This window comes from Homo sapiens, chromosome 15, assembly GCF_000001405.40.
Source record: "Homo sapiens chromosome 15, GRCh38.p14 Primary Assembly".
Lineage (NCBI taxonomy): Eukaryota > Metazoa > Chordata > Mammalia > Primates > Hominidae > Homo > Homo sapiens.
The window spans coordinates 72,217,904-72,241,042 of NC_000015.10; the positions used below are offsets into that span (position 1 = coordinate 72,217,904).

Consider the following 23,139-nt stretch of genomic DNA (forward strand, 5'->3'; position numbering starts at 1 on the left):
TAAAACCTAAACCATATGGATTCTTTTTGCAACAAATTATTTTTTATTATAAACTGGTAATTTATAATTTGGGTTACAAAGTTATGTAATCCAATACATACAGTTTGGATACAATGTGGAATAATTAAATCAGGTTAGTTAACATATCCATGACTTCAAATACTTAACATTTTTGTGGTGAGAACATTTGAAATTTACTCTTAGCGATGTTTTTTTCTTTTTTCTTCCTTTTTTTTTTGAGGCAGAGTTTCGTTCTTGTTGCCAAGGCTGGAGTGCAATGGTCAGATCTCAGCTCACTGCAACCTCCGCCTCCCAGGTTCAAGCAATTCTCCTGCCTCAGCCTCCCAAGTAGCTGGGATTATAGGTACCCGCCACCACCCCCGGCTAATTTTTTTGTATTTTTAGTAGAGATGGGATTTCACCATGTTGGCCAGGCTGGTCTCGAACTCCTGACCTCAGGTGATCCACCTGCCTCAGCCTCCCGAAGTGCTGGATTACAGGCATGTGCCACTGCGCCCGGACAATTTTTTTTTCTTAAGACAGGATCTCGCTCTGTTGCCTAGACTGGAGTGCAGTGGTGTGATCATGGCTCACTGCAACTTCAATCTCCTGGACTCAAGTGATCTTTGTCTCAGCCTCCCATGTAGCCAGAACTACAGGTGCATGCCACCATGCCCAGCTAATTTTTTTTTTTTTTTTTTCACTTTTTGGAGAGACAGGGTCTAAGTTGCTCAGGCTGGTCTCAAATTTCGAGGCTCAGGCAATCCTCCCACGTTGGCCTCCCAAAGTGCTGGGAGCCACCATACCTCGCCATCTTAGCAATTTTGAAATGTCTAATACTCTCTTATTAACTGTATTTGCCATCCTATGCACATACTAATTCTTTACTGCAACTTCCTATGACCTGAGTCCTTTCATAAGAATCTGTGTAGTATCCCATGTAGCACCTAGGTTTGTTAGGACATTTAGTTACTCTTTTCAGGAGAGAAAGGTCACTGCCCATGAAGCCCTTTTTTGGGGGAAGGGGCACACCCACTCACCAATGGTACAGATGATGCCAGTGTTCCGGGCTGTGATGGGTGGTGAATCAATGTCCAGGCGGCACATGTGCTCCAGGAATGTGTCAGCCATGGCTGCGTGCAGCTGCTGGGTCTGAATGAAGGCAGTCCCGGCTTCACTATGGGGCTTCGACATGGCTGCTGAGGTCCTGGGTCGAGACAAATTGAAAGAGAGTGGTAAGACTGAGAAGTGGTTAATATACCATTTAGCACAGAAGGCTGTCTCCTGCTTACACATTAACTCAATAAGCACGCTTTGTACACAAGCCACAGGGAAGCCAGACATGATCTGGTTATGTGGGTGCTCCTCATGTTAGAAAAAGGGTTCACCAGATTGTGAACAATGGAAAGGACCTTACTGAACAAGTTAAAACCTCCCACCCACTCCACATAGTCCCAAGCACCCACAGTAAGCAGGTCTCTCTTACACTGGGCTGACTGACATCTACCTAGACAGCTTTCTCACCACCCTATCTATAAATAACATCATTTAACATGCACTGAAGGAGCTTCCAATGAAGGAAGTTGTAACCAATCTTCCAGTGATACAAACAACTGACTCCTAGCTTAGTGCCTTGATAAGCCTAGATCTCTGCATGTCAAGCTGTCACAAAGCTACAAATAGCTGCTTTGTCGTGGGGCACCCATATTGCCTCTTTACAATCCTCACCCAAACCCAAAGTCATTCCCCTGAATGCAAAAGCTTCCATCCCAGGAGTCTAAACCTAAAACCACATCTACTGTTGGCCAGAAGGATGTCAGGACACGCAAAGCAATTTGCAATTTGCAAAGCAAGGATAACATAAGGGCACTGGTATAATTCTGAAATTATCACAACTACATTAACAGGATAGTTGCAAACATAGAGAAATTAAAGTTGCTGGTCAAATCTTTTCCCCAAATGATTTTTGATACACATCCTGATTTCTTTTCTAAGCCTGACAAGTATACCACCACTCTGTAACACAGACCATCAGTTCCAGGTAATTAACTAGCCCAGGTCACAACCCTGACAATGGCCCCAACCTTTGCTTTCTTCATTAATGACTTACAACTAAACTCACTCAGCCTGTTAGTTAGCTGATTAGAGACAAAAACTCAGGAGAAGCTTCCAGGCAGTGTTTGAATAACTATCAGGTAAGGATGTGAACCAGACCAGGCAGTGTTTGAAGAACTATCAGGTAAGGATGTGAACCAGAAGCTTGCTACACGTCTCATCAGAAAGCTGTTTCCTTGAGTTCTCAGACCAAGGGCTACTCTTTCTAAAACGCTTGAGCCTAAATGCTTCGGCCAAGCAAGGCTCAGGAACAAGCTCCTCTTTAGCCCTTCCCCACCTCATCCTAAATCTCAAAGTTCCAAATCAAGGCATCTCACACATATGACCCTTACTCCTTTACCCTGTTCCATCTCTGACTTTGTGGGCTCTCTGGGTGGCTCGAGTAGAGTATACATCTAAATCCATCTCTGCCATCTCCAAAGAAGGCCCGCTGAGGTCCAAGGAGCTCTGAAGGCAGTAGTGAACAGTCTGTTGGCTATGGAAAACTGATGGCCACAAGTCCTCAACCACAGATTCTAAAACTTTTAAAATGGGGAAATAAGATACCGGCTAACGGTTCAACATGGCAAATGCACTCTTCATTTCGATGTGTATTTCCTAAGCCCCTAATATCTACTACGTACCAAAATGAAAAAATCAATCCTCCCTTCCAGGACCTATATGGTTTTGTATCTCCTAGCACCTAGTATGTGGAAGCATTCCAGTGTTTGTTAAATGACCTTTCAGTCTCTCTGAATGCCTCTTTGTCAGAATCAAAGTTATGCCTCTGCTCCCCCTTCCCTAAATCTGAGGAACTTCTGCATTACTGACAGGAAAGCCTGGGGCCCCTGGTCCCTTTCCCTACACTCATGGTTGAGGGAGGGCTCGCATACCTTCAGAGCTCCCAGCTGGGCTTAGGGAAGTCTGGCTGTTAAGGGAACATTACTGAGAGATGGCACATCAGGCCAACTGGAACACAAAGGCTTTGCTGTGGCCTCCAATGGGCCTACAATCTAGGGACTGTATTGTGAACAAAATAAGATCTGAATAAGTGGGTTGGAGTAACTAATTCCACTCTTTTTAAAAACCATCAGCTGGCTCTTCTTAGACCTGAGATATGAGGGTCTTCCTGTAAAGACCTGGCTGGGGCCACTGAATATCAGGTCATACCTTTGGTTCTCTGGGGTTGGGCTTCCGGTGACATAATGCTCCCCTTTTGGCTCAGGGTGGCTCCTTGGCCTCACTAGCAAAGACCGCTCAGAGCTGAATACGGTGTGCCCTGGAGAGCTGCACAAGGATTAAGGAAAAAGCTGAGTGTAACTAAAGCTCTTTGGGGTAATGGAAAAATTACCTTAATAACCAGGTATCCAGGTGACAGCTGCTCTAGAGATTCCACTGTTATGTCTCTTTAAACCTGTGATTTACTAACATTCCACTATTCTATACAAGAACCTGGTCCCTCCCCTTTTGGGAGCGGGGAAGGGACACCAAATTAAACATACCTAAAAGACCTGGGAGGATATATACTGAAATTTTAATAGGACGTCATTGGGGTGGTAGGATTACAGAAAAAAAAAAATCCTCTTTATTAACAAATTTACTGATATAAATATAAAAATACTTTTATAGTAAGAAATTATGTGTACCTCTTTTGGAAATATTTATATGCATCCTATAAAATTGTTGGGAGGAAGTAAATGAAATGTGAAGACACCAATTCCATTAATCAATTGCTGCTCTATGCACTTCAAGAATAATCTGCTTTTAAAAGGTGGCAGAGAAAAGACGCATGTCTCAAGTTCTGTACACTGGGTTGTGATTAAAAAAAAAAAACGATACAAGTCTTAGGCCCTACATCACAAATGTACTGCAGAACAGTTTCAACGGCTTAAGAAGGTCAACCTTAATACATTCAGAACCTCAAAGCAAAAAAAAAAAAAAAAAAGTCCACAGGATAATCCCATGCCTCAAACCTGTTAGTTACATGCCCAAATCCAGCAAACTAGTTTGTTCTCAAGCTTTACAGTAAAAGCTTTTGACAATGTTCTGGTACAGAAGGGCTGCCTCCAAGTCCACGAGATGCCATTAGCAGATAAAATTATATTGGCCTCAAACACAAACCCTATTTCAACTATCTCAAATTAAATCTGATGCCTATAAGCTCTAATTTTTTGCCAATAAGTACAAAAATGACAAATGAAAATTTCTATAGTGGATTTACGCATTAGCAGTCAAAAAAAGCTTGCTTGTCAGCAAGTTCATCCAGACTCCAGATCTCATGTGTCCTTCATGCTCTCTACCCAGCCAGAGACCTCATATCTCATGCCCAGGTCTTTCCTCAGGCTCTGACCTGAAGCCTCCCTTGCAGGGAGGGCCAGAGCTCTCCTGCCTTCTCCAAAATCCTCCACAAGCCTCTTCCCAGCACAAACTGCCCATCCCACCAACCACGTACCTAGAGTTGTATGTAAAACACTCACTGGACTCCCCTGGCTCCAGGAGAGCAGCCCAGCCTTGGTTTCTCAGGGCGGACTTCTGGGAAAGACTCCTCTCCCTCATGCCAGCTGCCTGGACAGTGCCTGCCAGGACATGTGGCCCCACCCATGCCAGTCTGACTCACTATTGCATCCTCCTCCTAGGAAGGCACAGACATGCAGAGCCAACCTCCAGCCAGCAGTGGAAGCCTGGCGTATCCACTGATAGCAGCACACACCATGCCCAGGTCCAGGAGCCTTATTCTTGAGCCCGAGCCCCTGCAGTAAGATCTTCCTCAGAGCCATGTCTCCTCTGTGAGAAAGGAGACACCATCTCTAAGAGGCCTTAGTCTGGAGTGACAGGTTGGAACAGGCACAATCACAGCTCAGCTCCAAGTGCCCTATTCTCCCTTTCCTTTCTCATCTCAGACAGCTCCTGGCTTTTTATATTAGTTTCCTTTGTGTCAGACACAATTTTTTGGCCATTCTTCAGAAACCAGGAGACAAAAATCATAAAAAATACCCAACACTCCTCCCTCCAACTTTTTTTTTTTCTTTTTTTTTTTTTTCAGACAGGGTTTCACTCTGTCACCCAGGCTGGAGTGCAGTGGTGTGATTATATTATATTATAGCTCACTGCACCCTCAAACGATCCTCCAGCCTCAGCATCCCAAGTAGCTGGGACTACAGGCACGAACCACACCCAACTCCCATGCTCCACTTCTTAGGGCCAGGACTGTTGTTGGGTTGTGCTGGGAAAGATTCACGCTTCACTCCACCAATTCTTCCACAAAGGACCAAATCATTCTGCCCTAATAAAATAGCCTGGCCCGTGAGTCTGCATCTGCCTAAGTCATTTTTCCTTTGTACCAATTATGCTCCGATACCAACCTCATCACATAGATCAACTATAAAATGATGGCACCTGATGCTCACTTTCTCCCTCCAACGTTGCCAGTAGGTACCCAAGATTGTGTTCCTTCCTGTGACGTCAGTTTGCTACCTACACCTCCAAGCCATCATGAAGGCGTTTCGATCCACAACTCTTCCGAACACCTGCATCCGTTAGAAAGTCTGCATCATGATACGCTGGCATTCAGGTCAGCCTGCTCTCTAGTTCTCTTCCTCAACAATGGAAATGGAGTTTCTAAGATTTGCCCTAATCAAACTAGGCCAGCAACATGATCAAAATGGGTGACGGGCCAGCAGAACCTAGTAAGGTCTGGAATAGGCACTGTTCATCTTCATCTATAGTTAAGGGTAATGACAATAATGTATTTGCATATGGGTGCAGGATACAGAGGATAAGATATCTTCTAGCTAAGAGACCTGGGTCTTAAGCCCACACTTTAACCCCAGGAGGCCCCACAGCAGAAAGCAGTATGGTGTTACCAGGCTACACAGAACAAAATGAGCCCACTTGTAGGTTCTAGTAAAATTCCCTGGCTTTAAAAAAAAAAAAAAAATCTTGGCTCTTTTATTTCTTCGGGGCTGAAAGTAAATGACTTGTCAACAGGAACCTAAGGTCCTATTTCCAACTAGAGTGTGGAATAGGGAAGAGCAGCTGATGCTAAATGGGCCTACTTCCCTCAAAGACCACTCAACTTCAGGTGAAGAAGCCCTAAGTCAGAGACCCCTCAATGTCCTCAGATGCCGAGGATTTCCTGGTTCCATCCCAGCTGCTCAGTGCAGAGAACTGGTTTCAGCCTGAAGGAGGTGGTTTGGGGGAAGCATTAGTTGTCCTGGGACATGGTGCCTCCTTACTAGGATTAAAAGTAGGGCGGTGTTTCTGGGTATGATATCCACACTCTAAAATCAGCAAGGGACCTGGGACCCTGATTTAGGGTCCTCTTAAGTGCAACTAAGGTGGGTGATGGCCTCAGCAAAGTGAGGCACTGGCTCAACATTTACTGGAAGGGCTGCCCTGCATTCTAGTCGGGGGGATAAAGGAGGAAAGGCAGTGCCAACTCTCCAAGAGCACTGAACTAGTTACTATGACTGGTCTTCCTACGGCAGCCTTTATAGGTTTGCTTCTATGTTACGAATTAAAGAAAAAAAAGTTTTAACATCTGCCTCTCTACCACCCAGAACTGACCATTAACACTGAGCCATGGCTGGCTGTGTTGGCTCACGCCTGTAATCCCAACAGTTTGAAAGGCTGAGGCGGGCAGATCACTTGAGGCTAAGAGTTCGAGACCAGCCTGGCTAATATGGTGAAACACCATCACTACTAAACATACAAAAATTAGCCAGGCGCGCACCTGTAATCCCAGCTACTTGGGTGGCTGAGACACAGAATTGCTTGAATCCAGGAAGTGGAGGCTGCAGTGAACGGAGATCGCACCACTGCCCTCCAGCCCGGGCAACAGAGTGAAAAACTCTGTCTCAGAAAAAAAGGAAAAAAAAAAAAACACAAATAAAGGCTGAGCTGTATTTTCTTTAATTTCTTTTTTCTTTTTTTTTTTTTTTTTGAGATGGAGTCTCGCTCTGTTGCCCAGGCTGGAGTGCACTGGCGCGATCTCAGCTCACTGCAAGCTCCACCTCCCAGGTTCAGGCCATTCTCCTGCCTCAGCCTCCTGAGTAGCTGGGACTACAGGCGCCCGCCACCAGGCCCGGCTAATTTTTTTTTTTTTTTTTTTTTGTATTTTTAGTACAGACGGGGTTTCACCGTGTTAGCCAGGATGGTCTCAATCTCCTGACCTCGTGATCCGCCCACCTCAGCTTCCCAAAGTGCTGGGATTACAGGCATGAGCCACTGTGCCCGGCCCTCTTTACTTTCTAAAAACAAAAACAAGAATTTTAATTTTATACAGTTCATTTTTTCTCCATCCCCAAGCTCCTCCAACCCTTTCCACCTCCATCTTAAACTTTTTTTTCTATTTTATTTATTTAAATAGAGATGGGAATCTTGCGATGTTGCCCAGGCTGGTCTCGACCTCCTGGCCTCAAGTGATCCTCCTGCATCAGCCTCTCAAAGTGCTGGGATTACAGGTGTGAGCCACTGCTCCCAGCCACATCATGCATTTTGACACCCAATCACTGTCATGAACTCTATATCCTTCCAGTTCACTGAAGTCTATGTACAGTGTATCTATGTCTATACTGAACCCTATAATATTGTGGTTTTCTTAATGCCCTAAGTGGTATACTGTATATATCACTGAGTAACTTGTTTTTCACTCAGCAGCACATTTAAGATCCATCCAGTGGGTATATGGATCTAGCTAATTCATTTAAGCTGTTACACTAGTCCACTGTACAACAGACCATTTTATTTATGGACTGTCTTACTGGTGGCCACTCTCCCTCCCCGTTAAACTAAGTTTCTTCTATTAATCAATACTCTTGTAGTACATGTCTCCCTGTACTGTGTGAGTTTCTATATATCCAGAAATTGAAGTCTTAGGTCATGGAGTATGTTTATTTCTATTTTTACTAAATAAGGCTGAATTGCTCTCCAAAGTGGCTATATCAATGAACGCTGAGTTGCTGCCTTCCACACCTTTTTCCACACTTGGTACTGCCAGACTTTTTAAATGTTTGCCCATCGGTGACATTTGTTTTTCTGCTCATCTAATGTTAATAACCAAAGAGGGATACCCAGATAGTTTCAACGTTTACAACATCTCTATTTCCCTGCTTAACTCAATCAAATCTCCTCTGAAATGGCATGGTGGACACAGTGTGTCTTATGTGCCCTGACTGACTCCACTGATGGGCAGTTCTTTTTCGTTCATGGCCAAGGGAGATATCAGTTGTTTAAAATTGAAGAAACATGGCCAGGCGCGGTGGCTGATGCCTGTAATCCCAGCACTTTGGGAGGCCAAGACAGGTGGATCACGAGGTCAGCAGACTGAGACCATCCTGGCTAACACAGTGAAACCCCGTCTCTACTAAAAAATACAAAAAAAATCAGCCAGGCGTGGTTGCGGTTGCCTGTAGTCCCAGCTACTCAGGAGGCTGAGGCAGGAGAATGGCATGAACCCGGGAGGCGGAGCTTGCAGTGAGCTGAGATTGCACCACTGCACTCCAGCCTGGGTCATGGTGCGAGACTCCGTCTCAAAAAAATAAAATAAAATAAAATAAAATAAAAAATGAAGAAACATTATCTGCAAGTAAACTGAAGATGTTTGGAAGGGATAGGACTCCCTTCAGAGAATCTTGACTGCAGTATTCAGCCAGCAGCTGTGCTGGTCCACAGTGTGAAATGCTAGGACTGGCAACCTCACTGCCCTTGAATAACTGGTCTTGGCATCTCTCCCACTGCAGCCCCAGCCTGCTTCCAAGACTGCTTGCTGGCATGAGGAAAGAGGCTTAGGGCTCCCCAGGAGCTTTGTCTATGGACAGAAGTGGGGGAGGTGAGTCTCAGAGGCCACCGAAGGTACTGCAGCCGGCTTGTTCCCTCCTACGTGCAGACAAGCACAAACCACTGCAGGGGCGGGGCTTCACCGCACTGCATGGTAGGGGCCCTAAAGCACCCAACTCCTGAGCTGAGCAGTCATACCAAGAGGCAGGAAGGCCCAGCAGATGCTGCACATCACCCTCCACCACTCACCCAGGCTCACCTTCCCCCAACAGCTTCTTTAACAAAGTCCCAAGTATTTAAATTACTCAATTATCCAGTCTGCCCCTTGGTAAAAAAATGCAAGCTCCCCGCAAGTATGGTGGTATCAAAAATGGTCTTCATATATCTGGTTGTTTAGCTCTATTCCCATCTGTATCAGAACTGATGCTTAAAGGGACAACTTAAAATCCTTAAGACCTCATACCAAATAAACCAATCTCACGAAGACCCTTGAAGATGCAATAAAACTCTGCTCACAGGGTCAACGCATTCTTGTGTTATACCAGCTAATTGAGATTTGACTGTGGACTTTTGGAGTGATTCAGAAAGAAGGGTAATGTCAAATGAGTCATTTTCCTCTACTCCGGTCTCAGTCTTAGCTCTTGGCCAAGATAACACATCCTGACTTGCCTTCATAAAAGCTGAAGCAGGCCAGGTGCAGTGGCTCACGCCCGTAATCCCGGCACTTTGGGAGGCCGAGGCCGGTGGATCACCTAAGTCAGGAGTTCAAGACCAGCCTGGCCAACATGGTGAAACCCCATCTCTACTAAAAATACAAAAATATTAGCTGGGCGTGGTGCAAGTGCCTGTAATTCCAGCTACTTCGGGAGGCTGAGGCAGGAGAATTGCTTGAACCCAGGAGGTGGAGGTTGCAGTGAGCCGAGATCACACCATTGCACTCCAGACTGGGCAACAAGAGCAAAACTATCTCAAAAAAAAAAAAAAAAAAAAAAAAAAAAAACAAAAAACTGAAGCAAAATAAACTAAAACCCAAGTAAAGTGAGTTTGTAATGTAAGTGCTGCATTTTCTTCTACCTTCCTGCCCACGGCCGTTTCCTCATTTCTTCCATTGCCTCAATATTAAGAAATAAACAGCTTTAGGAAATAAAATGGTTTTTCCTGTGACCCCACATCAGTGTCACAACATTCAAGGCACAGAAGCAACTCCCATAAAGTGCTAGCTGTTTAGAGTCACCGCCACCAAATTTGCTAAGTCACTGGGGGTACGGTTCTTAAAGAGCTAATGATGCTCTTTGCTAAAATATGAATACAACATTATTTCTAATGCAATGCTTAAAATGAAAGCAGTTGTGCTAGACAGGAGACCAACATCCATACATTTTGGCTCAAGTCAGTAACTGAGAAATGAGTTCAAGAACCTTCTTTAAGTCATCATTAATCAAGTCCCAGGAGAGGCGGCTGTGCCCGCTACAAAAGGGCCAGGAATGAAGCTGCACAGACGGCATTAGCTGGGCACCGGGCTCTGCCAGTCTACACTTAAGCTCTTAAGGCAGTACAGAGAACCAGGTGACCCGGACCAATCATTTTTTAATTAGTTGTGGCTTTTTTTTTTTTTTTTTTTGAGAAGGAGTCTCGCTCTGTCGCCCAGGCTGGAGTGCAGTGGCGCGATCTCGGCTCACTGCAAGCTCCGTAGTTGAGGCATTTTTAATTAGGGGAAATGCATGCTTCATTATCTGACTCACTGAAAGGGGAGAAGGGACTTTTTAAGCCTGCAAGAACCACAATGTAGTTTCCCCACTCACCCAGCGAAGATAATTCTCTCAAAAGCAGAATAATTGAAAGGTTGAGTCATCTTCCCCACAGAGCCCCACTCCCCCACAGATTTGGTGATACGTTACATTTCCCTTCCCCACAAGACAGCCCACTCCTGCCCCCACAGCACCTCAGGCCACCAAAGGGCAAATTATTTGCTAACAACGCTGCAGCAGGGGAGTCCTGACCTCCATCTCCTCTGTGACCTAGGGAGTGGCCACACCCTCAAGACGGCCAACTGGGGGCTACTGACCCTGGCTCCAATCCTAATCTCACCAGCAGGCAGAGCAAGTCAAGGGCTGGAATGTTCCTCTGGTAGGTAGTATTCTACTTACAGCGGAACACCAAAGGCTTAACTCAGCCCCTCCTTGCCTGCCTTTGTCTACAGGTCCCAATCTCAGATGACCAAAAAGCATCTGCTCCAAGCAGAGAGTTGGAAAGTTACATTATCAGTTACTTTGTCAATATTAAACCAGATCCCTTGGGGAACTGGTTTCCAGGAGACACGTGGTTATTCAGAGAGCCTGATTCCTCACGATTAGCTGTAGGCGTTTGGGGACAGTAGGAAGACAATGGATCAAGGCCCTTATGCTCAATTGTGGACTAAGTAATTGTGCTCAAAAATAATATATTCAGTCACAGGCTTTTCTTCTGGGTATTTCGCCAGAGATTAGACACTTACTGAGTGTGCCACATCCACGTAAGCATGAATCCTTTCAACCATCATGAGGAAAATGTTACTCCCAGTTTTCCCAGGGGAAACTGAGGTGTAGAGGCTGAACTCCTTCAGAGTCTCAGGAAATTAATGAGTCAAACCTGATTCTAAACGCCTTTTTGACAACTTCCCAATGTCTCTCTCCACGTGGACCTTCACTGTCGGCCTCACTTTAACCCGTACCAGCAAAGGTCCAAGCCCTGGGTCTGGAGTACGTAGATTAAGAAGCCAAGGGATGCCCTTACATGACTGAGTCTTTAAATGATCTTCAGACTGGAAGGTGCTTTCCTGCATCTTCTAATCCAGTGTGCTTGCCACCTGGTGAGACCTTACGAGGCTTCCTGTCCCCCTCCCTCCCACAGCAGGAAGCTCGTACCCCACTCCCAGCATTACAGGAGATACATTTTAAGATTGTGAGCTCGGTGGGCTATGACTCGTCTAGTCATCCTGGTCTCTAACTCTGACCCCCAAACAGCCCTTGACCCACACCGTTTGCGTTCAGTGAACGCGACAGATTTCCTGCCCCCTCCGTAACCAGATCCCCACCCCACCCCGCGGCCTCCGCGTTCCACAATCAGGACGCATTTGTTAAAAAATGTGCCGGATAATTAAAAAAAAAAAAAAGAAAGAAAAAAGAAAGGAAAAGAAAGAAACGTGCCGGAGAGGCGCGGAACGGGCGAGGGCCAGGAGGCCCCAGCAAAGCCTGCAGAGGTTTATCCCGCCCGTTACGAGGCCCAAGGCCATCGCCCGGTGAAGCGGGGTGGGCCCTGGGCGCGGCCGCTACGTGCAGCCCGGCCGCGGCGAGATGGAGCGTGGTCCCTGGCGGCCACCCGGCAAGGGCCGGTCGAGCTCTCGGGCCCCGAGCCATTCCCAGGCCCTCGCAGGCCGCCCATCTAATCCCGGCCACAGGGGACGGCACCGCGCCGCAGGGGCAACCGCCCTGCCTCCCGGCAGCGGGGCAGGCCAACGTTACGTAAGTCTCCAGCTGCCCCCGGGCCGCCGCATCCCGCCCGCCGCGCGGGGCACCCAGCCCAGCCCTCCGCCCGCCCGCCCCGGACACGGGGCCTCAGCACCGCCCGAGCCTGCTGGGAGCTGGGAGGCGGTGATGGAAAAGGGGGGTGGGACCGCGCTCGGAGACCGGAGCAAGTGGGCGGGCGCGACCAGAGCAGAGAGGGAGGGAGGGAGCGGACACGCCAGGCGAGGAAGGGGATGCGGGGGAGCGGACGTGACCAGCAAGCAGGGGGAGGGGCGGCGAGAGGGAACTGGGGCGCGGGAAGGGCGGTCGCGCATGAATGGAGAATGGACGCGGGAGGGGAACCAGAACGCAGTTTCAATGAGTTACACAGAAAGCATTAGAATCAGGGGACACGCACAGCTTGAAGAGGAGGGGGTGGAAGGACCAGACTTAAGGAGGAAGAGGGGAAAACGAGCACGGAACAGGCGGCGCGGAGAAAGGGGAAGCAAGGGTGGAATCAATCACGAGGGACCGAGAGAAGGCAGGCGAGGATGGAGGCGCATTGAGGATTGGGGCAGGAGGAAGAGGATGGGACCAGAATGAGGGGGTAGGGCTGGGGCGGGAAAGGAGCCGGCGGACCCGCCTGATCTGGAAGGAACGGCGCTGGGGACTTCTGAAGAGCAGGCCCCAGGCGTGAGGAGCCGTTCTCCTCTCTCTGAGCTCCACTGCATCCCAGACGCCCTGGATCCTGCGCCGCCCTGCCTGCGTGCCCGGGGCCGGCCGGCGCGCCGGGATTCCGCACTAGCCGGGCGACTGGCCCTTGGTGGGGACTGATGGCGTAGCCTCCTGCACCGCTCACCTCCGGCGCTGACCGACTCGGGCTACGCTGCAAAGACGAAGAGATCCGGAGCCACGGCGCGTGCAGCTGCTGTGCAAGGAGCCACTGCCTCAGCCTCAAGGTTATCCCGCTGCGGGCCGCCGCAATCCCTCCGCCGCCCCGCCCTCTGCCCAATCCCGGCTCCGGGCGACCCGGGCCCCGCCCCCTGCGTCCCCGCGGGCGCAGTCACCTTCAGGAGGAAGCGCGGCGGCGGCGGCGGAACGCGCGGGCAGGTTGCCCTTTCGGTGGGACTAAATTCTGCGGCGGAAGGACACAGATTCAGAGTCACATTTTAAGAAACCTGATGACCAATGGGGACGCGGCGGGGCAACGGGGCCCGCCCCCGGAGCGACTTTCCTCCCAGACCCCCGGGCGCCGGGCCACCTGTTGCCGCCAAGTTGGGCTGCCAGATGGGGTGTCTTTTCTTGGCTCTCGGCCCAGGCCACCCCAGCTGTCCCGGCCTACCTGGGCAGGGCCCAGATTTATGGGTTCCGGGGCAGCATTCTCCCGGCCCCGCCCTGCCACTCCCCACTCCTCCGGGTGTCTGCTCTGGCGCACCCTCGGAGACTGAGCTGAACGGAAAGTTGGGGAGAGCTGCAGACTTGTGCGTGGTTGGAGGTCCTGGCCGCCTTCGGAGGGGCTCTGGCACTGGAGCGGCAGTAGGGAGAACTAGGGACTGCGAAGTGGGCCTGGAGCGGGAGCGCGAGGCCGTTTTCCTCTTAGGACCATTCATTGTGTTAGGACCGCGGAACAAGGAAGGACCGGTTGGGGCCATGTGAATAATTTAGTAGGGTCTGGAATCCTGCAGAGCGAATGCCTCAGAGTAGAAAGTAAATAGACGGTGTTGATATTAGCGCAGAGCTGGGCATCTGGAAATATCAAGTCAGAACATTAGGGCCGATAACCTATGCAGGAGTCAGCATTTCTGTTTTCACCTTTGTCGTGTTTAAGTCAGTATTGTTGGAACTTTTCTTACATTTTTCTACAAGACATTTTCTGATTTCCCAGTTGTTAGCCAGCAACTAATGATGCGAGCAGTTATCAATTAAACAGCTGTTAACTCTTGCCTTCATTCACAGATACAATGTTGCGCATTCAAAATGTGAAGACCGTTCTCTTAGGTTCTTTTTTTATTTTCCTGGCAAAAGAGACCAAATGGGTGTGACCTGCTCAGGCATACCCGCTGCCTGCAGCTGAATCACAGGCCTTCATTCGCTTCCTGTTAGCTCAGATAAGCTGGGAGGAGACAGTGACAGCCTAAAAGTAAATTTCTGTTTGAAGTGAGATAAAAATCTTTCACTTTCTTCTGTAAGTCTTTCCTGGTCCCTTTAGTTGTTGTTGGGAAGGAAATGCTTGATTATTAAGGTGGTGAAAGAACATGAAGTTGTTGAGAAGGAAAAAAGACATGCCCCCCTAGGGAGGGTTAGATTCCTCTCTATCAGAGAAAGAGGGATGGCATAAAAGTCCCTCCCTGGCCCCTGAGCTGAGGACAAACTAAGAACAGTGGTGGACAACACTGGGATGGCAAGGATCTGGCCGATGCTGGACTATATTGTATTTTAAAGTTCTAAATTGTCTGGGTGCAGTGGCTCACGCCTGTAATCCCAACACTTTGGGAAGCCGAGGCCGGCGAATCACATGAGGCCAGGAGTTGAGACCATCCTGGCCAACGTGGCGAAACCCCGTCTTTACTAAAAATACAAAAACTAGCTGGGCATGGTGGTGCACGTCTGTAATCCCAGCTACTCGGGAAGCTGAGGCAGAATCGCTTGAATCCGAGAGGTGGAGGTTGTAGTGAGCAGAGATCACTCCACTGCACTCCAGCCTCCGTGACAGAGCCAGACCTTGTCTCAAAAACAAACAAACGAAAAAGTTCTAAATCTAGATATGTTCACAAGACTGAAATGTACATGTAGAGTTGATGGCAAACTAACTCCTCAGTTGCAGATTTTGATCTGACAGTTCTAGAAATGCTGTCCACGAGCCTCTGGCAGAGACAAATCCAGCGAATCGTTGCTCACATTAGGTGCATAGTAGGCCGGGTGCGGTGGCTCAGGCCTGTAATCCCAGCACTTGGAGGCAGAGGCGGTAGGATCACGAGGTCAGGAGATCGAGAGCATCCTGGCCAACATGGTGAAACCCTGTCTCAACTAAAAATACAAAAATTAGCCGGGCATGGTGGCGGGCGCCTGTAGTCCCAGCTACTCGGGAGGCTGAGGCAAGAGAATCGCTTGAACCCAGGAGGCAGAGGTTGCAGTGAGCCGAGATCGCGCCACTGCACTCCAGCCTTGGCAACAGAGCGAGACTGCGTCTCAAATAAATAAATAAATAAATAAATAAATAAATAAATAAATAAACAAACAAGTGCATAGTAAAAATTTGTCACACTGAAGGTAATTTTCTTTTTGCCGATAAGTAGCACAGTATAGAAGATCAAGCTTGGAGGCCTGGTGCCAGCCATTGGCTCACGCCTGTAATCCCAGCACTTTGGTTGGCCGAGGCGGGCAGATCACGAGGTCAGGAGATCGAGGCCATCCTGGCTAACACAGCGAACCCCATCTCTACTAAAAATACAAAAAATTAGCCGGGCGTGGTGGCATGCACCTGTAGTCCCAGCTATTCGGGAGGCTGAGGCAGGAGAATCGCTTGAACCCGAGACGCGGAGGTTGCAGTGAGCCGAGATTGTGCCACTGCACTCCAGCCTGGCTAACAGCGAGACTCTGTCTCAAACAAACAAACAAAAAAAGATCAAGCTTGGGTTCCATCATACCTTAGTTCCAGTTCCCTATGACCAAATATTGTAATTTAATGTGTAGAAGTCCAGTTCCTCAAAAGTAAATTGAGGACAATTTACTTTTATGGTGGAGTTTGATGATGTATGTGAATGATTCCAACACTGCCCAATAGGCATCCTCTTTCTTTGGGAATTGACTAGTCCTGGAGGGCTGTCCTTGTGACACACACACACACACACACACACACACACAGAAGTTTTCATCCAAAGTTCCTTGCTTATAACTCCCACAGCTCTTGTTAGTCTTTTGTTTATAATGTTGGGGGCACTTTAGGCTCAGAAGCAGGCCTCAGAGAACAGAATTCTCTCTCTCTCCCTCTCTGGCCTTCTTCTGCCTTCCTTTCACCTGTTCCTTTTCCCCCAAGGCAGAAATCTTCCCCCAACTTTGTGTCTTGGAGCTGGCTATAAATAAGTTATTTGTCATATCTTTTCTGATTGTAGGTTGCAAGACCCCCATTTCAGAAGGGGTCCTGCCCTGTACCTTGGAGGAAGGGATGCTGCACAGAGGCCAAGACAAATCTCGACAGTCCTTGCTGGGTTCCCTCACTCAGTCTAGAGTATCACTATGAGATCATACCTTTTGGTCCAAGCATATTTCTACATGGTTATCAATCATGCCTATCCAAGGAAGTTTTCATAAAAGGCCTACGAGGACATGATTTGGAGGGCTTTCAGATAGGAGGTTCCTGGAGGATGCCACTCCCAGGGAGGGCATGGAGCTTCCAGGCCCCTTCCCCCATACCTGGCCCTGTGCATCTCTTCATCTTTATTCATTATAATATCCTTTGTAATAAACCAGTAAATGTGTTTCCCTGAGTTCTGTGAGCCTCTGTAGCAAATTGGTTGAACCCAAAAAGGGGATCATGGGAATCCCAAATTGAAGTTGGTCGGACAGAAGTTCTGGAGGCCCATACTAACTACTGATGTCCAAACCAGGGGCATTCTTGGGGACTGGGACCTCAACCTGTGGGATCTGATATTATCTCCAGGTACAGTGCCAGAATTGAATTGGAGGACACCCAGATGATGCCCGCAGCAGAACTGATTGCCTGTTTGGTGTGAGGGCAAATCCCCCACATATTTGGTCACAGAAGTCTGTGTTGATTGTTGTAGTGGTGGCATGAGAACAGAGGAAAAATACAGTCTGAGTTGGCTTTTCCACAAACACCTTCTGACCAGAGCCAGAATGTTTTCCTGAATTTAAGCTTGCCCTTCTCTGGACCATCACTCCTTTGACCCAGTAACAGGTCGGGACTACAGGAAACTGGGGTTGCTGAAGGAGGACACAGGCTTCTCCCCCTAGAGCCAGCCCTTCCACTGTGTTCCTGGACTTGACCAGGATGGGATGGGAAACTGCTAGGTTCACTGGATTTGGGTGTGAGTAAAAGTGGAAATTGGTATGTTTTCTGTTTGGATTCTTGACCACAGAATCTGCAGTTTAATGGTTTAACTCTCTAAAATCATTGGGAGTCCTTGGAGAAGGGGTGGTAAGTGTGTCAACAAACTGTAATGAACCTAATCCTGGAGCCTAAAGACAAGCTTTGGCCCTGATGAAGAGGGTGAGATTACAGGCTTTACATCAATTATGTGACATCTTAGCCTCTATCTGAAATGGCAGTGTTCTCTCAGGACAATACAATTTCCAGGGCAGCCTACCACGCCCGGCCTCTATGTGAAATTTAAAAATTAGCCAGGGCCAGGCTTGGTGGCCCACGCCTGTAATCCCAGCACTTTGGGAGGCTGAAGAGGGCGGATCAACTGAGGTCAGGAGTTCGAGACCAGCCTGGACAACATGGCGAAACCCTGTCTCTACTAGAAATAGAAAAAATTAGCCAGGCGTGGTGGCGGCTGCCTGTAATCCCAGCTACTCAGGAGGCTAAGGCAGGAGAATCACTTGAACCCAGAAAGCGGAGGTTGCAGTGAGCTGAGATTGTACCATTGCACTCCAGGCAGGGCGACAAGAGGGAGACTCCATCTCTAAATAAATAGTATGTAGAGATGGGGTCTCACTGTTGCCCAGACTGGTCTCAAACTCCTAGGCTCAAGTGATCTGCTTGCCTCAGCCTCCCAAAGTGCTGGGATTACAGGTGTGGGTCACTGCACCGAGCCCAGGTGAACTTTTTTGTTTTTTTGAGACACAGTCTTGCTCTGTCGCCCAGGCTGGAGTGCAATGGCGTGATCTCAGCTCACTGCAACTTCCGCCTCCCGGGTTCAAGCGATTCTCTTGCCTCAGCCTCCTAAGTAGCTGGGATTACATGCACCCGCCACCATGCCCAGCTAATTTTTGTATTGTTGGTACAGACGGGGTTTCGCCATGTTGGTCAGACTGGTCTTGAACTCCTGTCCTCAGGTGATCCACCTGCCTCGGCCTCCCAAAGTGCTGGGATTACAAGCATGAGCCACTGCCCCCAGCCTGAACTTTTTTTCTAGGTCTTCCTTCAAACTCCTACAATTTCTTCAGGCCTATGAGGGTGGCATATCAGTTTCCCCAGACAAATCCTGGAAGATAAAGTTAGACTTTGGAGTTAGGGATAAAGAGAACAGGCTGTCTGTGTGGAAAGGGCATGCTTCATGGAGGAGACATTCAAGCTAGGCATGGAAAATTGGTTAGAATAGAGATAGGTATGGCAAGGCCATGGTGTGGGGGGTGGCCATGGGGAGGGACAGTTAAACAAATACTGAGTGTTTTCTGAATGCAACTGTGTATCTAGGTTTCCCCAGGCTCCTGCAACCTCATCAGTGCTTAGAATGGAAGGGAGAAGCTTAAGGAGTCCTTGGTCACTCTGATGGAAGTATAGTCTTAGCCAAGGTGACCCTGTCAACCAATGTGACCTCCAGCAGTCTTTCTCCAGCCCAGAAATGCTGGGCTCACTGGACAAAGCCCCGTTAGAGTGATCTAATCCTATCCACCAAGCAACTCCCTTCGAGGCCCTGTGCTCTTTTTTTCCCTGTTAAGTGTAGCCAGAGCTCAGGTCCCCAAAGATGCAAGTGGCACTATAAACAGACCCTATCCCCCCAAAGTAATCTGCCTGGATATACTTTGGCACTTTCCATCCCAAGGAGAGGCAGAGACTGGAGCATCCTGACACATGGCATATGGGGATGAGATGGGGCATCAATCAAGATTTGGAAGAACAAGAAGGCATCAGTGAAGCCCTGATCAAGTGACTCCCTCCCAAGGAGCCCTCTGGCTTCAGTTCCACCAGTCTGCTTTTTCCCTGACACACTTCCACTCTCCACCTGTGTCTGCCCTTGCTCATTGGCTGCCAGCTAATCTGACCCACTTATCCCAGGAAGGACAGCTAGGACTGAGGAGACTTTGGGTCTTCTCCTAAGCAAAATAATTTTTAACTTAAAGAGTGGCATCTCTGGCTCACTGTGAGAGGAGGAGAGGTCTGATGCATTTGTGGCAAGTCCTGTGCTCCAAAGGAGCCAGTGAATCTTCAAATGAGCTGCAGCCTACCTTATTCCCACTTCTCCTGGGGTAGGAGGGCTCTACAAGGAATTACACGATCCATAGAGCTTCCTCTACACCACTCCTGAATTAGTCCCAGAAGCTGTGGCATCCCTCAGACCTCCATCTCAGAATCCATCCTGTGAGAAGCTGGTAAGAAACCCAGTAATGACTCAGCACCAGACTCTTCTCCCCTCTCCCCACCAGCCAGAATGAAAGGCAGAATCGAGCAGGCTCCTCCCCAATGGATGGCCACATCCTCACCACAAACTGAGTCATGGTCACACCCTGCCTGATGGAAAATTACCAGGAGGAGGGAAACGGAAGGTTAAACTCCAGGGGTTTGTAATTTCTCAACCTAAAAATCAGATAAATGTTTGAGGTGATGGATACCCCATTTACCCTGATGTGATTATTGTTCATTCCATGCCTGTATCAAAATAACTCAAGTAACCCATAAATATATATACCTACTATGTACCCACAAAAATAAAAAATAAAATAAAAATAGCCATCTACTCTGTACCCAGAACTAATGAAGAAAATAGTTCTTTTCCTGACCCTAGTCCTAACCAAGCATGTCTAGGTCTATGAAGTGAGACTGCTTGAGCCCAGGACTACATGAAAAGTAGGAGGCCGCTGTCAACCTGTATGTATGGTATTTGTAATAGGCTTGGCCCTGTGGAGGATGCCTTGTTGCTCACACCTGGGTTTCACAGGCTCCAGCTTCCCCACCTCCAGAAGAACCAGGCCTGGGCAGAGAAAAGGGGCAACTTTACCTCAATTCCCCCTCCAGGCTGTGGGAGGATTCCTCTCCAGAAACTCAGGGTCCCACCCAAGTTTCCCTACAATGAAGGCATTCTTGTTGTTTGTGGGGTTTTAATTATATTTGTTTTACCTCATATATGTTAAGATATTATCATTTGTGGCTTCTAAACTTCTTAGATCCAAAAAGTCCTATTGCTTTTCTGTGGCACTATGAAATGATGTATTTAACTTTATTACAATTTTATTGGCATAAAAAGATTATTATACAGATGATTTTTTTTTTAAAGTGACACCCATAAGGCTAGCTCAGCTATTTGAGTTTTTCTGGTAATATACACCATTTGTTCCTTCTCATTCCATCATTTGCTAGTACTGCTATATTGGATGTCAGTGATACAGAGAAACTATAAGAAATGCTTACGACTGAGAAAAATCTATTAACAATCTTTGAAATTGAACAGAAATGTTGTTATACCATTTGAGTAGCCACACACCAAAGTTCAGTTGCTGGAACATCAGTGAGAACAGTTGGAGACCATCTAGGATAACAGAGTGGTTAAAAGAACTCAGGTTCTGGAGTTGGTCAGATCTAGTTAGAAACAGCACTGGCTGCGCACAGTAGCTCATGCCTGTAATCCTAGCACTTTGAGAGGACTGCTTGAGGCTAGCGATTCAAGACCAGTCTGGGCAACATAGCAAGATCCCATTTCTACAAAACAATTTTTTTTAATTAGCCAGGCATGGTGGCACATGCCTGTAGTAATAGCTACTTGGGAGGCTGAGGCAAGAGGATCACTTATACTCAGGAGTTGAAAGTTACATGAGCTATGATCACGCCACTGCACTCCAGCCTGGGTGACAATGAGACCAAGTCTCAAAAAAAACCAAAAAGCAAAACTTAACATTGCCAATAACCAGCTGTGGGACCTTAGATACATTATTTAAGATCTCTGAAGAAAACCTATCTTCCAGCTTTGTTGTCAGGATTAAATGAAAAAATATTTGTAAAGTTTGAACACTTTTCAGCATAGAACCAGAACAGCAATCTGGAGTCAGGCTGCCTGTCACTAGCTGTGGAATATGTTACTTATGCTCTGTGCCTCTGCTTTCTCATCTACAAAATAGGAATAATCACGCCTACTTCATAGGCTTGTTCTGAGAATTACGAGTAAATATATGTAGAGAACTTATAATACTGGCTGGGCGCAGTGGCTCACACCTGTAATCCCACTACTTTGGGAGGCCAAGGTGGGTGGCTCATCTGAGGTCAGGAGTTCGAGACCTGCCTGACCAACATGGTGAAACCCCATCTCTACTAAAAATACAAAAAATTAGCTGGATGTAGTGGTGCATGCCTATAATCCGGCTACTCGGGAGGCTGAGGCAGGAGAATCACTTGAACTCAGGAGGCAGAGGTTGTAGTGAGCCGAGATCACACCACTGCACTCTAGCCTGGGCAAAAAGAGTGAAGCTCCATCTCAAAAAAAAAAAAAAAAAAAAGAAAAGAAAAAAGAAAATTTTTAATACCAAGCACACAGTAAGTAATCCAAAGTGTTAGCAAATTATTAAAGTGCTTAGCATAATGTCAGCACCTTCTTAGTAAAAACTAAAGAAAAGGTCAGCTATCTCTAATACTACAGAGATGGGCACAAAGTCCTCTCAGGAGGCAGGTATTTCAGTCAGAGTGGGCTCAGTGATGAGGTCATTTACTTGGTGAAGAGGTTATTTCCTAGACCTGAAACCAGAATGGGAGAAGAGGGCTTAGGAGACTTGTAAATTAGAATGTGTTAGTGTTGATCAAGAATGAGCAAAGTTTAAGAAACAGCTTCTAGAGGGATGGACCTTAAGAATGGTACTTGCATGTTAAAGCAGGTCAGGAACTGAAAACCAGGGTAAGATACCCAGGCAAGAAGGTACCTCTAAAGTACGGTGAAGGTGATGAAAGACAACAGGTAGCCTAGAGTGTGCTTTGTAAATCAAGCTATAACAGATTAAAAAACCCTATCCTTGAAATGCCAGGCTTATTTAATGCTTTTTGTATTCTCTGTGCTTATATTCCTGTTTTTCTTCATTAATATTTCATAAAGTATATAATCCCAGCACTTTGAGAGGCTGACACAGGCAGATGGCTTGGGCCCAGGAGTTGGAGACCAGCCTGGGCAACATGGTAAAACGCCATCTCTCCAAAAAGTATGGAAATTATCCATGTGTGGTGGCACCTGCCTGTGGTCCCAGCTACTTGGGAGGCTGAGGTGGGAGGATCACCTGAGCTTGGGAGGTCAAGGCAACAGAGTAAGACCCTGTCTCAAAAAAAAATTTTTTTTTCACAAAATATTTGGAAATGTCCAACTGACACAGCTATGCTTATAACTAAGGATCTGGGGCACATGAAGCACAGCCTGAAAGGCCAGCAAAAGGCTGAAATGGGAATTTCAACAGGGAGAAGAAAAAATTCACTACAACAATTAGGCTTCCTAGAAAGAGCTGCCTTCCTTTACCACCTTACTAAACTTGGTGAAATTGGGTTGTTTCATTAAGTGAAGCTGCATTCCCTTAGGATGTCTTTATAGATTTCGACTTAGAGACAAACCCCACTTCCTGCTCCCACCAGTTCTCCCCTAACCTCACTTACCCTGAAGAAACAGGTTGGAGGAGAAAGAGAGTAGGGGTCCAGTTCCTGAGATATAGAGCAAGGGAGACTGGGCAGGTTTGTGCAGAAAGCAATAGGCCCTAAAGGCAGTAAATCTTAGCTGCTCTGGCCTCAATGGCCCTTTTAAATTTTGACTAATAGTCATTAGTGGTATTCTATATTCTCGGTTTGTTTCATCTGCATAACTGATAAGTTTCCCTTTAATCCACTGATTAAAAAGCTGACACATCTGTAGTATACTAC

General features: G+C 47.4%; 1 protein-coding gene across 17 annotated transcripts in view, besides 10 other annotated features; it reads right to left on the reverse strand.

Annotated features, from left to right (window-relative positions):
• The window catches only part of PKM (pyruvate kinase M1/2), a 32,563-nt gene extending 18,875 nt beyond the window's left edge, over positions 1-13,688 (reverse strand). For 3 of the 17 annotated variants that reach the window (NM_001206797.3, NM_002654.6, NM_182471.4), the window contains exons 1-2: positions 13,213-13,287; positions 1,041-1,207 (exon numbers count right to left, since the gene is read on the reverse strand). In NM_001206797.3, the coding sequence (NP_001193726.1) occupies positions 1,041-1,194 (154 nt within the window). In that variant the 5' untranslated portion in view covers positions 1,195-1,207; positions 13,213-13,287. The other 14 variants (NM_001411081.1, NM_001206796.3, XM_047432662.1 and 11 more) reach the window with 10 other exon arrangements.
• Positions 8,805-9,099: an enhancer, noted in NCBI's record as "tiled region #1213; HepG2 Activating DNase unmatched - State 1:Tss, and K562 Activating DNase unmatched - State 1:Tss". NCBI's record gives its function as "activates a minimal TATA promoter and a strong SV40 promoter by Sharpr-MPRA in HepG2 and K562 cells {active_cell/tissue: HepG2 | K562}" and the evidence as "EXISTENCE:reporter gene assay evidence [ECO:0000049][PMID:27701403]".
• Positions 10,517-10,776: an enhancer, noted in NCBI's record as "active region_9715". NCBI's record gives its function as "activates an Ori minimal core promoter by ATAC-STARR-seq in GM12878 lymphoblastoid cells {active_cell/tissue: GM12878}" and the evidence as "EXISTENCE:reporter gene assay evidence [ECO:0000049][PMID:35858748]".
• Positions 12,159-12,668: a silencer, noted in NCBI's record as "silent region_6618". NCBI's record gives its function as "represses an Ori minimal core promoter by ATAC-STARR-seq in GM12878 lymphoblastoid cells {active_cell/tissue: GM12878}" and the evidence as "EXISTENCE:reporter gene assay evidence [ECO:0000049][PMID:35858748]".
• Positions 13,229-13,728: a silencer, noted in NCBI's record as "silent region_6619". NCBI's record gives its function as "represses an Ori minimal core promoter by ATAC-STARR-seq in GM12878 lymphoblastoid cells {active_cell/tissue: GM12878}" and the evidence as "EXISTENCE:reporter gene assay evidence [ECO:0000049][PMID:35858748]".
• Positions 19,190-20,389: an enhancer, noted in NCBI's record as "MED14-independent group 3 enhancer chr15:72529434-72530633 (GRCh37/hg19 assembly coordinates)". NCBI's record gives its function as "activates an origin of replication core promoter dependent on BRD2, BRD4, P300/CBP and CDK7 cofactors, and independent of MED14, by STARR-seq in HCT116 cells {active_cell/tissue: HCT116}" and the evidence as "EXISTENCE:reporter gene assay evidence [ECO:0000049][PMID:35650434]".
• Positions 19,202-19,322: a transcriptional cis regulatory region, noted in NCBI's record as "candidate enhancer chr15.2083 targeted for multiplex CRISPR interference". NCBI's record gives its function as "positively regulates PKM gene expression with high confidence in K562 cells {active_cell/tissue: K562}" and the evidence as "EXISTENCE:mutant phenotype evidence [ECO:0000015][PMID:30612741]".
• Positions 19,371-19,995: a transcriptional cis regulatory region, noted in NCBI's record as "candidate enhancer chr15.2084 targeted for multiplex CRISPR interference". NCBI's record gives its function as "positively regulates PKM gene expression with high confidence in K562 cells {active_cell/tissue: K562}" and the evidence as "EXISTENCE:mutant phenotype evidence [ECO:0000015][PMID:30612741]".
• Positions 19,566-19,776: a silencer, noted in NCBI's record as "fragment chr15:72529810-72530020 (GRCh37/hg19 assembly coordinates)". NCBI's record gives its function as "represses an EF-1alpha promoter that drives an FKBP-Casp9 reporter gene in an ReSE screen in both phorbol 12-myristate 13-acetate-treated (for megakaryocytic differentiation) and untreated K562 erythroleukemia cells {active_cell/tissue: K562 | K562(+PMA)}" and the evidence as "EXISTENCE:reporter gene assay evidence [ECO:0000049][PMID:32094911]".
• Positions 19,600-19,819: an enhancer, noted in NCBI's record as "active region_9716". NCBI's record gives its function as "activates an Ori minimal core promoter by ATAC-STARR-seq in GM12878 lymphoblastoid cells {active_cell/tissue: GM12878}" and the evidence as "EXISTENCE:reporter gene assay evidence [ECO:0000049][PMID:35858748]".
• Positions 20,130-20,216: a transcriptional cis regulatory region, noted in NCBI's record as "candidate enhancer chr15.2085 targeted for multiplex CRISPR interference". NCBI's record gives its function as "positively regulates PKM gene expression with high confidence in K562 cells {active_cell/tissue: K562}" and the evidence as "EXISTENCE:mutant phenotype evidence [ECO:0000015][PMID:30612741]".